We start from the raw sequence: 17,674 nt of genomic DNA, 5'->3' as shown, positions 1-17,674 counted from the left end.
TATGCATATACACACAATATGGTCCCTACAAATGAAGCCAATGACTGCGTCTGATGCTCGGCCAGGGATCTCGACAGTAAACCTTTGCAGCTGAGCGAGCTGGGACTGGAAAGTTCCAGGAAGACTCTGGGTCTGTGGACTGGGCTCTGGGGCCATTTTGGGGAATTTTCCAGGCTGATTTTGGCTGTATGCGATTTTATCTTTCTGCACAGACATCAGACCCTGTCCTCAGGATGTGATGGGGCCCCTCCCCCATCTCCCATCCTACCAGCCTGTGTCCAGGTGGGGGTGGGGCAGGGCAGACAACAGGGTCCCTGTGTCTCGGGCAGCAATGCTGCCCCCTTTCCTGCCCCAACATCCCCAGCAGACACAAGAGATGGAGACTATGAGCTGCTCTCGTGGCTGGGTCTCGGGGGTCCTGCACCCTCAGGAGCTGACGCTGACGCACTCCACTGCCTGTCACCAGGAACCTACCTCGCGCCATCTTCATCTCCATCCCACTGGTGACCTTCGTGTACACGTTCACCAACATTGCCTACTTCACGGCCATGTCCCCCCAGGAGCTGCTCTCCTCCAATGCGGTGGCTGTGGTGAGTGGGCCCCTGCTCGGTCCCTGGCTCCTGCCCAGGCCCCTGCCCCGGCCTTACACATGGCCTCTCTACTGTGCCCACCCAGACCTTCGGGGAGAAGCTGCTGGGCTACTTTTCTTGGGTCATGCCTGTCTCCGTGGCTCTGTCAACCTTCGGAGGGATCAATGGTTACCTGTTCACCTACTCCAGGTGACTGCACTGGGGAGACGTGGGCATGGGGAGGGAAGGCTGGGGTGCAGGTGTGCACCAGTCATGCCGTGGGCCAGAGGAAGGGACACCTGCCGGGGGAGGGGTCTGCCTGAAGCTGGGATGATGATCCCACACGGTAACAAGTGTCTGATCACAACTGGGAGGCAAAGAAAGCAAGAGGCAGGCAGGCTGGATGAGGGGGAGAACTGTCCAGTGGGGCTGCTGGGCCCGGAGCAGGAGGTCAGAGGCGACAGCTTAAGAGGGACATCAGGTCCAAAGCTGAGACCCAGGATGTGGCCAGTGCCCATATCTGTCCCCAACGCTAGGCTGTGCTTCTCTGGAGCCCGCGAGGGGCACCTGCCCAGCCTGCTGGCCATGATCCACGTCAGACACTGCACCCCCATCCCCGCCCTCCTCGTCTGTGTAAGTTGGGGGACCTGGGCCAGGCAGGGCGTGGAGGCAGGGCTACCCGGCAATGCAGGACCTTCCGGGTAATGGCAGGGGTGAGCCATTCCAGGGTGGGGGTTGGGGGTGGGGCCAGGGCTCATCCTGCAGGGGCGTCAGGAGGCAGGCTAGGGGCCAGCCGTCAGCCCCAGGTCCTCTCCCAGTGCGGGGCCACAGCCGTCATCATGCTCGTGGGCGACACGTACACGCTCATCAACTATGTGTCCTTCATCAACTACCTCTGCTACGGCGTCACCATCCTGGGCCTGCTGCTGCTGCGCTGGAGGCGGCCTGCACTCCACAGGCCCATCAAGGTGAGGCCCTGGGACAGCTGGCCCTGTGCCGGGTGCTGCCAGAGCCACCCCTGCATCCACAGTGGGCACCAGGGGCAGGTGGGATGGGAGGTGCCAGCTTTTGTGGAGTGTTGGGCCCTGCTCAGGGCTCTCTGTGCACTGAGGCAGCCATTCCTCATAGCAGCCCCATGAGGACAGAGCTTTGAATGCTCCCAGTGTACAGATGGCGAAAATGAGGCTCAGGACTGGGCACAGGGGCTCATGCCTATTCCAGCACTTTGGGAGGCCGAGGTGGGAGGATTGCTGGAGCCCAGGAGTTTGAGACCAGCCTGGGCAACATAACGAGACTTCCTCTCTGCAAAAAGTTAAAAATAAAAGGGTTAGCCTGGTGTGGTGGTGCGCACCTGTGGTCCCAGCTACTTGAGAGGCTGAAATGGGAGGATCGCTTGAGCCCGGGAGGTTGAGGCTGCAGTGAGCGGTGCTAGGGCCACCGTACTCCAACCTGGGTGACAGAGGGAGACCCTGTCTCAAAAAAAAAAAAAAATTAAAGAAAATGAGACTCAGGAACTGTTCAAGGTCACAAAGGCTGCCAGGATTTCATGAGCCCACACAAAAACAGAAGACCATAGCCTGAGCTAAAAGCAAAGCCCCCCATGTGTGTATAAATCCTTAAGTGGAGAAGTGCTCAGTGCCTGAAATGTGAAACACCAAAAAATCACTGACCTCCAGCCAAGTGCAAGCCTCAAGTCCACACGCAACCGCTGTGTGGAGCTCGGTGCCGCTGAGACTTTGAAAAATCCTCAGCAAAACTGGCCAACGGCCTGACCCATGAATTGGCCTCCAACACACTGGGCTGTCGCCAAGAGGGGGTGTAGTGGGTGCAATTGCCCTTCAGGCCTCAGCTCCCAGGGAAGGGAGGAAAATTCCCCAGACCCCCAGGGGTCGGGGGTACAGACAGCTGGAGGCCCTGCACCATCGGTGTTTCTGCTCCCCCTTCCCCAGGTGAACCTTCTCATCCCCGTGGCGTACTTGGTCTTCTGGGCCTTCCTGCTGGTCTTCAGCTTCATCTCAGAGCCTATGGTCTGTGGGGTCGGCGTCATCATCATCCTTACGGGGGTGCCCATTTTCTTTCTGGGAGTGTTCTGGAGAAGCAAACCAAAGTGTGTGCACAGACTCACAGGTGAGCCGGGCAGCTGCAGGTCACCCAGCACAGGGGGCCGGGGCCTGGAGACCAGACCTCCCTCTTAGAGGCTCACCCCAGAGCAGGGTGTCCTAGCAGCTGAGGTGGGAACACAGGGCCCAGCCGCCACCAAATGTCTCTTCCCAAGATGTACCCAAAGTTTCCAGAACCACGGGTACCGACGGAGCAACTCCCTGAAGACCCCTGCCCAAGGGGAGGTGTCCGGAGCTGGGGGTCACCCCTATCCCGAGAGGTCAGGCCCCAAGGTCCATCTGTCTGTCCTCAGAGTCCATGACACACTGGGGCCAGGAGCTGTGTTTCGTGGTCTACCCCCAGGACGCCCCCGAAGAGGAGGAGAATGGCCCCTGCCCACCCTCCCTGCTGCCTGCCACAGACAAGCCCTCGAAGCCACAATGAGATTTTTGTAGAGACTGAAGCAGTTGTTTCTGTTTACATGTTGTTTATTGAGGAGGTGTTTTGGCAAAAAAGTTTTGTTTTGTTTTTTTCTGGAAAAAAAAGAAAAAAGATACGACTCTCAGAAGCCTGTTTAAGGAAGCCCTAAAATGTGGACTGGGTTTCCTGTCTTAGCACTGCCCTGCTAGCTCTTCCTGAAAAGGCCTATAAATAAACAGGGCTGGCTGTTCGCTCGTGCTATGGGGAGTCCCTGATGGGCACAGATGGGAGTGGCTGGGGCGTACCTCGGTGGGTGCACACATGTTGCTGGCCAGGAAGATGCCGTGGCAGGCCCTGGAGGAGGCTCTTGACATTAGGGGGCTTTGCTGCTTGACACAGGCGCTCCCTACCATGGCACCCAGAGTCCCCCTGCCCTAAAGGGATGTCGAGGATGGGGTAGCAGCTCAGTCCGCCCCTACCCCAGGCCCCTCGATGCCAGTCTGAGCTCGGCCACCCAGGAGAGCTCAGGGGCTCCAGGCTGGGATTGTCTTTCTTCCCGTAAATCACCACAGAGTGAAGGTCAGGACTTCAGAGCCCACAGTCTCACCCTGGCTTACAGGTGGGGAAACCGAGGCCCTGAGATAGGATGGAACAGACGTGGCCACTGCTGTTGGTGCCTCGGCCTCTCTGTCCCCAGAAAGCACAGAGCAGCATGTCCTGGGGGCTTTGAGGCCTGCAGGGAACTCCAGGGGCTTCATGTACAGCAGGCACACACCCCAGCCCTTCCACGGTGCCCAGGAGATTGGACCTTCAGGGAGGGCAAAGGGCGCCTGCCTGGCCAGGGGCATGAGGGTTTGGCAGGAGCCACCCAACCCAGGTCCTCCAGAGGCCTTGCTGGACAGGAAGAGGGTGAGGCGTGAGCAAAATAGTCACCACGGATGAGACCCAGCGTCCCCATGGCCCGGCCCCATCCTCATGACAACTCCCAGCTCTAGGGGCAGCTGTTGCCACTGCAGGGCAGATGAAGCAAAAAGGCTCTGGTCCCCTGCTTCTCTGGAAATGGGTTCCCAGAATGGAGTGGGGGGAGAGAAGTGAGACCCCAGGGTGCTTGTGTACAATGGGACCCTGCAGACGGGCTCACCACTCCACTCTTCTCCCCCCCGCCGTTCAGTCCCACAGCTCCCGCCCACCAGTGCAGCCAGCTGGCTTAGGGGCCAGCCCCTCCGCTGGGGTCCCCGGAGGGCCTCTCCATAAGAAAGGACGCAGAGGCAGGGTAGAAATGACTGTGTATTCCCTGGTTACAAAGCGGGGCTGTGGCGGTCACCAGCGAGCCCAGCGGTCAACAGACCAACAGGGCCTCATCATCGCTGGCCTCCAGCATTGGGGAGCAGGGGGGCGGGGGGTTCCTGCAGACCCCCAGTGGCTCTGGCGAGTGGGGGCCCAGGGTGCTGCTGGCAGTGGAGACCTGGGGGTGCGGGTCCTGGGCTGAGCAGGGCTCCCGAGGTGCATCTGCAGGAGCTGGGCCGTCTACCAGTGGCTCCCTGCAGACCTTTCTGTCCTTGTCCACGGGCCTGCACTCTGGGTCTCGCAGGCCCGAGGGCAAGGGTGGCCCTGAAGGTCCCACCTCCGGTGCACGGCCGGGGGCACTGGGGGGCCTGTCTCCGGCCGCCCTGGTGCTGCCTGTGTCCATGAGCGGTGCTGGGGGGTCGGGGGCAGCCCCTGGAGCAGGCTGGAGGAAGCCATCGCCCAGCACGGTCTGTGAGGGGCGTGCTGCGGTCAGCAGTGGGATCTGGCCTCGGGGCGCCCGCGGCCGGTGAAAGAGCCGGTTCCAGAGGCGGCCGAGGCGGCGGCGGGAGGGCCCCCGGCGGGAGGCGTGCCGACGCATCTGTCTCCGCATGGCTGTGCGAAGATTCTGCAGCACAGAGGCCTGTGGGGTGGAGCAGGGTAGGGGCGGGGGGATGCGGCTGAGGGGGCAGACAGGCTGCTCAGGGGCAGGAGACAGCACACCCCCAAGGGACCTGAGACCCGAGAGACCACCTTGTCCACCCCCCCCACCTGGCCATGGGCCCTCAGGTCACCCTGCGCAGGCCTTGCCTCCTGCTCCTGTGACCCCTGGACCAGCCTCCTCCGCACACTGTCCCAAGTGGCCCCGGAGGGGCCTCACGCCCTCCGGGGGCTCACCTGGGACGCACTGTAGACAGGAAAGTCCTCCACGGGTGGAATGAGGCCCTGGGCGATGAGCTGACCATAGGATGGGGGTGCCTCCCGCCGCACGAACTCAGCCTCCAGGCGCGTCATCTGGGTCTCGAAGGCCCTAGAAGCAGTGGGCGGAGGGCGACATGACTGGGCTGCCCGGGACCTGCAGCAGGAACAACAACAGGATTCCAGGACGACCCTCCACCCAGACACCCCAAGATATAGGGACCCCAGTGTGCACCAGGGCAGCCTCCATGTAGCTAGTCCAGGCCCCCGTTTGCAAACCCACAGCTACGGGGACAGCAAGCCTGGGTGATGAAGAAGCCCGGTCCCCTGGCTGCGGGCACAGCGCCCACCTGTATTCCTGCGTGCGCAGTGAGTAGAGCTTGAAGGCGCAGCCCAGCGCGATGACCAGCAGCAGGCCACACACCAGGCTGCCAATGAGCGCCGCCGTGATGACCTTGCGGGGCACGGCGGCCAGGCACCCATGCTCATCGCTGCCGTCCTGGCAGTCTTCCTGGCCGTCACAGCGCCACGTCTCGAAGATGCACAGGTTGGTACCGCAGTGGAAGGTGCCGGGCTGGCAGGAGAAGCAGTTCTTCTCGTCGGCGCCGTCGGGACAGCTTTTCTGGTTGTTGCAGCGGTCGGCAGGCGTGTAGCACAGACCACTGCCACCCTCGCAGGGGTACTGGTCGGGCGGGCAGGCAGGGCAGCCCTGCTCGTCTCGGCCGCTGGCACAATGCCACCAGCCATCACAGCGCTGTGGCTCTGAGAAGCAGCCCTGGTCGCCCAGGCTGCCCCCGTCACTGTCACTACTGCTCCCGCACGGCTGCTCCCAGGGGAGGCAATAGCCCTTCACCTGGTAGGTGGCATTGAAGCCGTGGCCGGCGCTGCGGGCGCGCGCGTGGTAGGCCACAGTGAGGCGGCCCTGGGCGGCCTCCAGGCTCACGGGCCGGTGGTTGCTGCGGTAGGACAGCGTCTGCAGCAGGCGGTCCCCGCGCTCGCCCAGGCCCTCGTATACCTGCACGTAGTCGTCATAGCCCAGCCGCAGTTCCAGCTGCAGCAGCACCCGCCGGGAGTCCTGTGTGTCCACCAGCCACGTGCAGTGAAGGTCTGAGGGCCCGCGAGCGGCGCCGAACAGGTCTGGGGAGGCAAAGGAGCCGTAGAAGCTGCCCAGCCGCCGGCCGCACGCCAGGTCGGGGCAGCCCGCCTCATCCGAGCCGTCGCCGCAGTCCTGCAAGCCGTCACAGCGCCGCTCCACAGGCAGGCAGCGCGTGGAGCGCGCCCCGCTGCATGGGAAGGTCCCCCCGGGGCACAGGCTGCCTGGAGGCTCGGAGGCGGGCGCCGAGCAGTTGCCCTCATCAGAGCCGTCTCCACACTCGTCCACCGTGTTGCACTGCCACGGGCCGGGCAGGCACTTGCCGTTGTCACAGCGGAACTCATCTGCCTGGCAGGATGCCTGGCCCAGCTTCCCTGTGGGGTGGAGACGTAGCAGGGGACAGTCAGGAGACAGAAGAGCCTCCCTTCGGCCAGGGGGCCTGGGGCCAAAAGCGGGCAGGTGGTTCCCCATCACTGTGGCAGCAGAGACCCCTCCAACACCAGGGTGGGCTCTGTCCCTGACCTGAGCCTGGGGTTAGGGGTGAGTTCCCAGGACTAGCCAAGACTGGGAAGTGGGGCCAGTGACCTTGAGAGGTCCAAGGCATCCGCATGCCCAGTCCTGCCACTGTCCTGAGATTGACAGGGCGGTCAGGGGACATCCCACAGGGAGCCGGGGCCCTGTGGAGGGTGCCGCCCCTGTGGGCCGGGAGCCTGTGGGCATGCACGGTGTGCTCCGTGGTGTCCTGCCTGCCCTGCAGCCTCCATCACCTCGGATGTAAGACAGACGGAAGCCCTGGGCCTGGCCGGAGCTGGAGGCGTCTGAGTGGAAGAAAATCCAGACATGGTCGCGGGCAGAGATGAAGGCAGGTGGGATGGCGGAGCCACAGAGGCGGAAGGCCTCCTGGCGGGGTGGGGCTGCTGGGCCCAGCAGGAGCCAGTCCAGGGAGCACTGGTGGGACTCCTCCACGTCAAAGTTGCGGAAGCTGCGGGGGGGCGGAGAGGACCCAGACATGAGGCAGTAGGTGGGATCTCCATGGCCGAGGACCAGCAGGGAGTGGTCAGGCTGGAGCCACGGCCAGGACAGCCAGCCCTGTCCCGGCCGGCTGCCCCCACTCCTCATGTTCCAGACTGCCTGGTTCCTCCACTCCCAGCCACTCTGTCCCCACACTGTCCCCATCCAGGTGTGCACGGGAGGCTCCATGAAGAATTGCGACATCCACGCAGGTCATTTCCAGCTCTGCTGCGGCTCCCCTTCCCTCCATCAGTGCACACAGTACCCCCAGCCCGAAGCCGAAGTGGAGCAGGAAGTCAAGAGCCCCCTGCCCCGACACCCTCCCCAAAAGGGCAGTGGCCCAAGGGCCCAGAACCCTCCACCTCGGGACCACTGGGATGGGCCCAGCACAAAGTCCCAGGCATGGGAAGTGAGGGTGAGACTGCCCACGGGGCTGGCTAAGGCTGCAGCAGGTTGACAGCTTGTCATCTCCGGAGATACACTGGCCCTGAACCACCTGGCCCTTGGGGAAACTGAGGCACAGAGACTAGGATAGACCCTGCCCATGCCCATCACATCCTCACGCATTGCAGCTATGGAGTAAGTCAGGGGTTGCGCTTTTTGGGCTCTGGCATTTAGGAAAACTATGGCAGATGGAACCTATAGTGACTCCCCAGCCAAATGTCCCTGTGACCACCCCTGGCCAGGACCACCGCTCACTGCCTGGCCCCCTTTCCCTCTGCATGTCCCTGCAGCTCAAGCACCCGGGCTTTGCCTGATTCACTCCCCTCCCCAAGGCCCCCTCCAGAAACCATGCTCTGGGCTCAGTGCCAGCCTGGCCCCCAGCCACCCCTGCAGGACAGAGAGGACACCTCTGCCACCTCAGAGACATCAGACCATGCCCACCAGTCCCAGGCTGTGTTCCCAGTGGCCTGTGTGCTGGCCCTGCCTTCCTGGCAGAGCTGAGTGACTGAGACCCCCCACACCCCATGAACGAGGCTCAAACCAGGAAGAGGTCCAGCTTGGGCACCTCGCCACAGAGGCCCGTGGAGACCCAGAGCACTGGACACACTTGCGTGCATGCATTCACATGTGCACATACATGCTTACGGTTCACACATGGTTACACCTGTTATCTTACATGCATGCGCACATACACGCTCTCTGCACCTTTGCAGGCATGGCTCGTGCACATACATGTGCTCACACATGCAGTCTCTCACATGTGTCCTTTATGTCTTCTCCGACATGGGCTTTTCCATGTACACAAGCACACATGTGTTCACATACATGCACACACACACATATGCACACACACCTACTTACATGTGTTCACATGCATGCACACACCACATACCTGCTCAAATACCTACACACGCCTACCTCACACACACACATCTGCATGCACACACACCTACTCACAAATGCTCACACACATGCACACACCCATACACCTGTTCACACGAGTGCTCACACACGCCTCACTCATATGCTCACACACATGCACATGATCCCACACCTGCTCACACACATGTACACCCTCAGGCGTGTGCCCTCCACACCTGCTCACACACACACATTCTCACCCACCCCATGCACGTGGGCCCACATTGATTCCTTCCGACACCCCCGGGTGCCCCTACCTGATGGTAATCATGTCACCACGGTCGCCCTGGATGTACCAGCTGCAGTTGGTGCCTGGCGGGTAGTTGAGGGGCCAGGCCGGGCTGTAGATGACCCCACGCCGCTCCGTGTGCTGCTCCAGCTTCCCACTGCAGGCCGCTGTCGGGAGAGGAGGCCGAGAAAGGCCGGCCCATCTTTGGTTGGGATGCGGGTTGCAGTGGGGGGAAGGGGGCTTCAGCACAGGCCTCCCCCATGGTGGGATCGAGTCCAGCCAAGGGTGGCCATGGCCAAGGGCAAGGCCACAACTTGTGACTTCATGGAGGTGGTGTGTACGGGAGGCCAAGGAGGGCCCCCTAGACTTGAGGCAGCTGTAGCCCCCAACCCTATGCAGTGGACTACAGCCTAGGTCCTGTCCCCCGCATCTCTGGCAGAGCTGGGAGAAAACCCACCAACAACCCGTCCTGCCAGCCGGCACCTCCAAGGTGTAGCCTCGTGGCCTCGGGTCAGTGGAGAATCCCACACCCCTAGGCCTGCCCAGCCGGCATAGCCCATCCTGCGATGGCCCCCTGCCTGCCTTCCCTGAGGCTTTGCTCACTCAACAAGTATTTACTGAGCACCTACTACATGCCAAGCATGCATGGTAGGCACACTGAGTAAGGTGGGAATAAGGCCTGCTCTATGGAACTCATAGGCTGGGGGTGGGAGCAGACGAACTTTACGCAGAACCCCTCAGTGGAATGAAGATACTACAACAGGCCTGAAGAGAGGTGGCAAAGTCCAGCTGTGGCTGGAAACGCCACCTGGATCTGATCACACCTTGTGCAGAATTTGAGTTTTATCCTGAGTACAAGTGCAAAGCCGCCAAAGGTAGATCTCGGAACCAGGTGAGGAAACAGGCTCAGAGAGGGTCAGCGACTTGCCTGGGGCCACACAGTTAGGGAGGGGCAGAGTCAGGAATCACTGTAGGCCTCTGGGGGCCTCAGCTTCTTGCTGCAGCACTGAGCCAGCATGCACTCATGGAGTGCCAACTGTATACCGCTCAGGTTGAGCAAAGCATCACGCCCGCCAGCTCAAAGGAGGAGCCCTCCATGCCCAGCCCCATGGGCCTCGCTTTAATCCATCCATTCTCCATGCTCTCTGCTTCTAAACCATCCAGGGCAGTGTGGTGAGCCTGCCCTGCCCCGCTGTGCCCTGACCCTCCCAGGACCAGGCGGCTGGCCCCTGCACTTGACCACACCTCCCACCCCACAGCACCCTGACCCTTCCCCACGCTGGTCCATCTGATTCTCACAACAGCCTGAGATGAAGGCAGGGCCCATTTTGCAGATGGAAAAACTGAGGTGAGGGACGACCCCTTTCCCGAGCCCAGTGACACTCTCTCCTCACTCTCCCATGGCTGGCCCCTGGCACCGTGACCTTGCAAGCCAAGTTCTCTCTGGTTCTCAGCAAGACTCTCTGGCACCCAGCTGCAGGAAAGGAAGGAGAGCCCTCTGGCTGCCTCCCATGCTCTTAGGACAAAACCACAATTCACTACAGCAGCGCCAGCCCCCTCCCTGCCCCACACTCTGCCTCATCCCTCCCATAACCCCTAGCCCCCCGGACCTCTCCGATCTCTCACATTGGAGGGGACTTTGCCCTGGAGGCCCTGGTGGTCCCTAGTGGGTGCTATCCCCACCTTCTTATCCCATTCACGGACTCCTCAGCTTCCACCCCTAGCTCCAAGGTCCCTTCCCAGGGAAGCCCTCCGGGATAGCCCCCACAGAGCTCCAACCCTCCATCCCTCCCCCCAGCCTCGGCCACAGAGCATTTCCCTTTTGTTGTTGGGACTGATGGATGAACATCACACAGGCAGGTAGGGCCGTGCCATGTCCCAGGGCCCTGCACAGTGCCTAATGCATGGCAGGTGCTCCAGAGATGTGGGTCCCTGAGTGGACGGGTCCATCTGAGGACCTGCTGGGCAGCTGGAGCCATGAGCTGAGAGCTGAAGCCCCTTCCCCTGGGGGCCTACTAGGACCATGAAGGCCCAGGTGAGTCGGGACTGTGACAAATAGGGAGCCAGTAACCCCCACGGACAGCTCGTGAGAGCATCAAGGATAAGAACAGAACTCTTGGTCCTAAAGCAAGGCTGGCCACCACTGCGTCACCATCAGACCCTTGACAGTCCCAGGTCAGTGAGGTGCAAGCCAGCACCTCTCCACCTGGAACTCATGCATGGCCCTGGGAGGCAGCCCCCACAATGAGCCTCTGATCCTGCCCCAGAAATAGGGCACTGTACACCCTGCTCCCAGCCAGGAAGGGCAGGAGATAAACTATCAGAAAGGAGTCTCAGGGTGCAGCCACCCAAACATGCAAAGTGGCCCCGGCCCCAGCCTGGTTCCCTTTGCCGGGTGAGGCTACTGGCCATGAGGACCTCACAGAGCCCTGAGGTCCTGAACTGGGATTCCTTGGGAGGTGTAGGGTGAAGAAATCCAAAAGAGACCGGGTGCAGTGGCTCACACCTGCAGTCTCAGCACTTTGGGAGGCCAAGGCGGGGGGATAATTTGAGGTCAGGAGTTTGAGATCAGCCTGACCAACATGGCAAAACCCTGTCTCTACTAAAAGTATAAAATTAGCCAGGCGTGGTACTGGGCGTCTGTGATCCCAGCTACTCAGGAGGCCGAGGCAGGAGAATCGCTTGAACCCAGGAGGCGGATGTTGTGGTGAACCAAGATCACACCACTGCACTCCAGCCTGGGTGACACAGCAAGACTTTTTCTCCAAAAAAAATTAAAAAAAAGAAGGAAATCCAAAAGAAGAGATCTTTCCCATTGGAGGGGGCCGAACAGGAGGTTCCACAGAAGGGAAGGCCCAGTGAGGCTGAAGTGGTATGGTCCCCCACATTGCATCTCTAAAGCGCATGCTAAGCTGAAGTGTCAGCCTCTGAGTCAGCGTGGCTGGGAACCTCCCATGTTCACCTTTTTGCTGAGGGGTAAAAACCTGTGAGGTCCCCTGTCCTGGAGGACAAGGCCAGGGGCAGGGCAAGGCGCTGTCCATTCCTACTCAGCCCCAGAGGCCTCCCCTAGGGGACAGACATAGACCTGCCCCTCTCCTTGGGGCCCTTGGGGGCCAGGTGTCTCACCCACGCTTTCTGGGAAAAGCCAGGTGTCACCTGCCACCTTTCTCTCTTCCCACTCACTTCAGCCAGAACCCTTCTCCCTCATAGACCTATGTCTGACCCCTTCATCAGGGGTTGGGAGGCCACCAGCCACATCAGGAGCAGAGGAAGGGACAACTGCCAGCTGCCCTGCCTCTCAGCAAAACCCTGACAACGGGTGCCTCCAAACAGCCTCACCCCTGGGGGCCCCCCGGAAATTTCCACATCAGGGAAACTTGGTTAAACTGTTTGCTCTTCTCCAAAGCGGGTTGGCAGAGACCATGGTGGGTGCAGCAGCAGCCCAGCCTCATGCAGAGGGGATGGGAGGCAGGAGGGAGGCTGGGCTCTGTGCAGGGAGCTGCAAGTTCTAGGCAGGGACTCCTTTTTTTTTTTTTTTTTCTGAGACAAGATCTTGCTCTGTCTCCCAGGCTGGAGTGCAGTGGTGCGATCACAGCTCACTGCAGCCTTAACTTCCAGGCTCAAGTGATCCTCCCACCTCAGCCTCCCAAAGTGCTGAGACTACAGGTGTGCCCCACCATGCCCAGCCTAGGCAAGAACCCTGCTTGACCTGAGGCAGACGTGCATGTGGTAGGGCACAGGGTCAGGGGTTGCCAATGAGGAGGGGGATCTCCAGGAATGCTCCATGGAGGTGAGGTTCATGACAGGCTGTGTAGCAGCGGGCAGGCAGTGAGGGCAGATGGGAGGACTGCATGATTTGCGGGATAATGGGGAAGAGGGAGGGGTTCGGAGGTGTTGGGGGCTGTCAAGAGGTCTGTCTGAGCTTCAGCTGGAGGTGACCTGACTTCTCTCAGGCAGAAGATGGCCTGGGCCCTCGGAGCCATGGTGGCCCACACAAGTAGGGAAGGAATGACCAGGTACTTTCGGGCCAGTGTCCTTTCCTGGTCCAAAGAGTCATCAAATATTCCTGAGAGGACACTGCAAGGCCTGAGAAAGCACAATTTGCAGATCCAATTTCCAAAGTTGATCAATACCCCCGCCAACCTGCCTGGTGTAATCCGACGACGGGGAGCTGGGAGTCCCACCCCAGACGTGCCGGGGAAGCTGCCAGCTGCCTGCAAACTGCATGAAGCCCCTGCCCAGGCCCTCCCCGTTGGAGCCACAGTAGCTTCAGGGCTGAGCCCAGAGGCTGGGGGGATGCAGGAGGTGTTCTGACCAGTCAGGGCCCAACATACCTGGGCTTAGGATGGGGTTTGCTGAGGGGTAAAAACCTGTGAGGTCCCCAGGTAGCCCTGCTAGACCCTCTGGAGCAACTGAGCCTAGTTAGGGTGGAGAAGGGGCTGGGGGAATGTTTCCCAATCCAGGGTCCCACACAGCAGGAATCCCAGGGAAAGCTCTGGAAATGCAGAGTCATGGAGCTGTGGTGGGAGGTGGGTACCTTGGGCCACCTGCAGGTGGTCAGTAATGCTGGAGGTGTCAGAAGTGGACTCTAGGACAGCTAGGGTCCCAGATCACCACCCATGGCCTTGCGCGCTGGGCGTGCAGCTCCCATCACAGAGGGCACCAGGGGTGAACAGCAGCCGTTGGAGTTTGGCAACGTGGACCCTGCTGGGGCCTGAGGTCTTGACAGCTAAGGACAACCAAACGCAAGGACCTGGACAGTGTCCTCCTCGCCCAAGCTCCATGACTGGCCCTAGTCCCCAGGGAAGCACTTTTCTGAAAGTGGAGTATATACACATTTGGGGTGACACACCCACCAGCAGGAGGGTGTCCTGGGGCTCACATTCATAAGCTGTGACACCCTCATTCCCCCTTCCCCTGACTCTACCATGGCCACAGACATCTGACCCAGGCTGGGCCAGTCAGCCTTTTCCTGGAAATTGGGATGGGAGACTGGGCCTCCATCAGTTGTGTGGACCAGGACAGCAGACAGGGCTGGGGCTAGGTCAGCGCTGAGCAAGGCCCGGCCTTGAGCCAGCCCGAAGCATCAGAGGAGGCCGGGCTCCTGAGAGCACAGCTCAGGGCAGAGAGAGAGGGAAAGAGGCCCAAGCCTGCCAGAGGAGCCAGTGAGCACAGCTTCTGTGCACCCTGGGCCTCCCCTTTGACCACAGCAGGGGTCCCGCTGCCTGACAGCTCCGGGTCCTTTCTCCAGCAAGCCGGGCCCTGCACAGAACTAGAAACCCAGGCACCTCCTGCCCCACCGAGCAGAGCAGCAGGCAACGAACAAGTCAGAGGCCCCCATTGTTCTCCCGGGCTGCACCTTGACCTCAGGTTTTGGTTTTGGTTTTACAGACAGGGTCTCGCTCTGTCACCCAGGCTGGAGCACGGTGGAGCCGTCATAGCCCACTACAATCTCAAACTCCTGGGCTCAAGCAATCATCCTGCCTCAGTCTCCCGAGTAGCTAAGACTACAGGCACATGCCACCGTGCCCAGCTAATTTTCAGATTTTTTTTGTAGAGATGGAGTTTCACTATGTTGCTCAGGCTGGTCTCAAACTCCAGGGCTCAAGCATTCTCTTGCCTCAGCCTCCCAAATGCTGGGATCACAGGCGTGAGCCACAGCACCTGGATGTCGAGACTTTCCCACGGAAGCTGTGATGCAGCTTCTAACTTACACCTTTCTTCCACCCCTGCTCCTGCTTGTCCAAATCTAGTAATTCCCAGGTGGCCCTGCATGGCGTGGCATGTCCCCTCCTTTCAAGAAAATTAATAAAGCCTTCTTTCCCTGGCATGGGCCTCTCTGTGTCACCCCTCAGTCATACTCCTATAAATTAAATCCTAGGAAGCTCATGGCCTGCAATGAGGCACAAGATGTCAATTCCACGGGACCCTCGGCAGCTTGCCGGTGGTATAAAGCCACCACGTGCCAGGCACCACACTAAGAGCTTGCCTCACTGGCTCATGGAATACTAAGAGACAGGTTTTGAGTAGACCTTGTTATTTCACCCACTTTACAGATGAGGAAACTGAGGCTCAGACAAGTTGAAGCCTGTCCAAAGCCAAACAGCTCCTTTGTGATGTAGAAAAGATGCACACAGGAACTCGGGGTAGTGCCAGGACCCTGAAGGCCTGTCTTCAGGGACCACTCACCCAAAAGGGACTGAAGGAGTGGAGGAAGGAGAGAAAGTGCTTACTTACCTAAGGCAGGAACCGCACTGCTGAGTCTCCCGGTGAGAAAGATGTTCACTGTGGGAGATACAAAGAAAGGGTCAGGGGTCCCACATACCTGCTGGGGACCAGCAGCAGCCCATGAGGGACACCACAGCTAAACCCAAGGCTGGCCCGCTGGTCCCCTTCCTCTTACAGGGCAAGGCCCAGAGCGCAGCCCAAGACTGCCCATCAAGAGGGTCCCTACCACCTCACCCCCACCTCCCTGCCTCCATGTTCTGTTATCCAGGCTGGAGTGCATAGCTCACTGCAGCTTCAAACTCCCGAGCTCAAGCAATCCTCCCACCTGAGCCTCCCAAGTAGCTGGAACTACAGGTGTGCACCACTATGCCTGGTTATTTTTTTATTTTTTATTTTTGTAGAGATGAGGTCTCACTGTGTTGCTCAGGCTGGTCTTAAACTCCTGGCCTCCAGCAATTCTCTTGCCTTGGTCTCCCAAAGTGCTGGGATTACAGGCACCTGCCACCGCACCCTGGCCTGCTCCTACAACTTTGAAGGGCTTCCCCCTACCAAGGGGCTTTGCTCGCCCAGCAGCAGCAGAGGCAGGAGGGGAGGCAGTTCTGATAATCCCCATTTACAGGGCACGCAGCTAGTGACGGAACCATCCTCTTCCCCCGTGCCAAGCTGACTTTGAGGAGGAAAGCAGAACTCCCCAGCCACCCCTCAAGCACCCACCTCCGTGGGGTTTGGCCCTTACTTTCACCTTCTGCTCTGGCCCGGGGGGTTACGGGCCCAGAGTCGGGGGGTGGGGGGAAACCCAACTTCCCGGGGTTCAGGATGTGTGTCAGATCCCGCCTGGCCAGGAAGCAGGAACCGCTGCCCCCACCCAGGACACCCAGGCCCCCTGGACAGAGCCAGGCCAAAGCTCCTAAGCATGGAGCGCCTGTCCCCCTGCTCTGCTCACCAGGGATGCCAGCACCCAGCAGCTCAGAGCCCAGCACACATGACCCCGCACTGAGGTTGGGGTGGGCGCGCTGGGGTTACACCCTCAATGCTCCCCAATGGCACATTCCCACTGAGCCAGGCTCACACAGCTGGGGCAAGGGCCTGCCAGAGCCTCGGAGCTCCCTGAGGCCTGGGGGTGATTACTTTGTCATTTCAGTGGCTTCAGCAAACCTGTCAGGTTACAGAGCCCTCACTGGTGACATCACAGGGTGTCCCCTAATGACCCCCAGTTCTTATAATGGCCTCCCTCCTTCATCACAGTAAATAAAGGAGCCATGTGGGTTGGGGATTTAACTCCTCCTCTCGCCTACACAGAGCGCTGGAAAGCTGGACAGAAAAACTCCCGGACAGGGCGGGAGCCCCTCCCACCCCATGCCTGGCCTTGACCGGTCCCTGGCCCAACCCAAGCACCCTCCTAAACTGAACAGGCCTGCCTGGGGGCTGAGAGACACAAAGGGAAAACAGGAGTCCCCTGGAAGCCGCCTCCACACTGGCACCCTCCTCCAGCCCTGCCCCGCACCCCGAGTCCCCATCTGCGGCTTACACCAGCCCCCACCCCAACTCCGGGCCGGAAACAGTTTCTTCTTCAGGGGACAGCCGGCCTGGCCTTTGTCCCCAGCTCCCGGGGCCCCCTCGTCTCCAGGCTCAGCGCGGGCGGGCCGGGTTGAAGGCTGCCGCCTGCACGAAGGGCCTCCTGCCAGCGCTCAGCCCGGGCTCCGGGCGCTACTCCGAGCGGGGCGGGAGCCGGGGCTGCGCCACCAGAGTCGCCCTCCCAGGCCCGGGGCCAGGCGGGCAAGCGGTGCTGGCCCCTCTCTGGGTCTCCGCGCGGGAGCCACCGCGGTGGGGGGCTCGGGATGCCGCGGCCGGAGAGGAGGTCGGTCAGGGCGCGGCGCGGACTGCCATGCGGGGGACCCGGACCTGCCCGGCCCGCGCGGCCCACTCACCCAGACAGACGACGGCCAGCTGCGCCCGGGCGCCCGGCGCGCCCTCCAGCCCCGCGGCCGCGCGCTTCTCCATGCCGGGCCCGGCCGCCCGCGGGCGCCGCCTCCTGCCCCGCGGCTCCGGCTCCGGTTCCGGCTGCGGCTCCGGCTCTGGCTCTGGCTGCGGCTCGGGCTCGGGCTCGGGCTAGGGCTCGGGCTCCGGCTGGCGTGGCTGCTGCGGCCCGGGTGCAGGCGGCGGCTCCCGAGGCGTCTTTGTGCGGTGGCGGTGCAGGCCCGTAGGGCGCGCGCGGCCACATCGGCCGCGGCGTCACGGGCCCTGCGGGGGCTCAGCGGCGGCCGCCAGGGAAGACCCCCGCCCGCCGCTGCCCCCGCGCCCCGGGAGCCCCGCCGCGGCCGGCCTGGGCCCGGGGACCCCCGGCGCGCCCATGCCCCGCGGCGCGCAGCCCGCCCGGCCCCGGCGTCCCCGGGCCGCCCCGCGCTGCGCCCAGCCCGCCCGGCCGGGTGCCGCCGGTAGAGCGTCCGTGGGTCTGTC

General features: G+C 61.4%; 2 protein-coding genes across 8 annotated transcripts in view, besides 5 other annotated features; one reads left to right on the top strand and one right to left on the bottom strand.

Annotated features, from left to right (window-relative positions):
• SLC7A10 (solute carrier family 7 member 10) overlaps positions 1-3,340 on the top strand; it is a 17,187-nt gene extending 13,847 nt beyond the window's left edge. For 2 of the 6 annotated variants that reach the window (XM_024451610.2, NM_019849.3), the window contains 6 exons: positions 467-590; positions 676-779; positions 1,106-1,202; positions 1,388-1,537; positions 2,519-2,696; positions 2,983-3,340. In XM_024451610.2, coding sequence (XP_024307378.1) covers positions 467-590; positions 676-779; positions 1,106-1,202; positions 1,388-1,537; positions 2,519-2,696; positions 2,983-3,113 — 784 coding nt within the window. In that variant the 3' untranslated portion in view covers positions 3,114-3,340. Of the gene's footprint in view, positions 1-466; positions 1,203-1,387; positions 1,538-2,518; positions 2,697-2,982 lie in introns of those variants that run through there. The other 4 variants (XM_011527120.2, XM_011527119.2, XM_006723284.3 and 1 more) reach the window with 3 other exon arrangements.
• LRP3 (LDL receptor related protein 3) lies at positions 3,140-17,674 on the bottom strand. 2 transcript variants are annotated; one of them, XM_005258945.2, is made up of 7 exons: positions 17,146-17,674; positions 15,227-15,274; positions 9,018-9,156; positions 7,152-7,366; positions 5,642-6,758; positions 5,271-5,448; positions 3,140-5,016 (listed from the first exon to the last, which is right to left on the bottom strand). In XM_005258945.2, exons 1-7 carry the CDS (start codon positions 17,216-17,218, stop codon positions 4,429-4,431), a joined length of 2,358 nt encoding a protein of 785 aa, XP_005259002.1. In that variant the 5' UTR covers positions 17,219-17,674; the 3' UTR covers positions 3,140-4,428. The 2 variants fall into 2 exon arrangements, with proteins under 2 accessions (XP_005259002.1, NP_002324.2); NM_002333.4 differs by having other exon boundaries at positions 5,271-5,403.
• Positions 4,386-4,887: an enhancer, noted in NCBI's record as "H3K4me1 hESC enhancer chr19:33698023-33698524 (GRCh37/hg19 assembly coordinates)". NCBI's record gives its function as "activates a minimal SCP1, AML or CMV promoter by ChIP-STARR-seq in primed H9 embryonic stem cells {active_cell/tissue: H9 hESC(primed)}" and the evidence as "EXISTENCE:reporter gene assay evidence [ECO:0000049][PMID:30033119]".
• Positions 6,996-7,165: an enhancer, noted in NCBI's record as "experimental_51194 CRE fragment used in MPRA reporter constructs". NCBI's record gives its function as "activates a minimal promoter by MPRAs in K562 erythroleukemia cells, with activity observed for both the introgressed and non-introgressed 19:33695830 variant alleles {active_cell/tissue: K562}" and the evidence as "EXISTENCE:reporter gene assay evidence [ECO:0000049][PMID:34662402]".
• Positions 8,440-8,609: an enhancer, noted in NCBI's record as "experimental_51187 CRE fragment used in MPRA reporter constructs". NCBI's record gives its function as "activates a minimal promoter by MPRAs in K562 erythroleukemia cells, with activity observed for both the introgressed and non-introgressed 19:33694386 variant alleles {active_cell/tissue: K562}" and the evidence as "EXISTENCE:reporter gene assay evidence [ECO:0000049][PMID:34662402]".
• Positions 13,070-13,239: an enhancer, noted in NCBI's record as "experimental_51179 CRE fragment used in MPRA reporter constructs". NCBI's record gives its function as "activates a minimal promoter by MPRAs in K562 erythroleukemia cells, with activity observed for the introgressed 19:33689756 variant allele {active_cell/tissue: K562}" and the evidence as "EXISTENCE:reporter gene assay evidence [ECO:0000049][PMID:34662402]".
• Positions 14,401-14,460: an enhancer, noted in NCBI's record as "active region_14444". NCBI's record gives its function as "activates an Ori minimal core promoter by ATAC-STARR-seq in GM12878 lymphoblastoid cells {active_cell/tissue: GM12878}" and the evidence as "EXISTENCE:reporter gene assay evidence [ECO:0000049][PMID:35858748]".

This window comes from Homo sapiens, chromosome 19, assembly GCF_000001405.40.
Source record: "Homo sapiens chromosome 19, GRCh38.p14 Primary Assembly".
In the NCBI taxonomy this organism is placed as follows: domain Eukaryota; kingdom Metazoa; phylum Chordata; class Mammalia; order Primates; family Hominidae; genus Homo; species Homo sapiens.
This window is presented reverse-complemented; position numbering and strand designations above follow the sequence as displayed.

What these genes read in the sequence shown, in the direction of transcription:
- LRP3 (XM_005258945.2), bottom strand. Translation starts at nt 17,218, where the DNA reads ATGGAGAAGCGCGCGGCCGCGGGGCTGGAGGGCGCGCCGGGCGCCCGG. An exon ending in CCGTCTGTCTTACATCCGAG is followed by an intron (nt 6,759 to 7,151) that starts GTGATGGAGGCT and finishes TCCACCCCACAG; the next exon opens with GGAAGCTGGGCCAGGCATCC. An exon ending in CTGCGCACGCAGGAATACAG is followed by an intron (nt 5,449 to 5,641) that starts GTGGGCGCTGTG and finishes TTCCTGCTGCAG; the next exon opens with GTCCCGGGCAGCCCAGTCAT.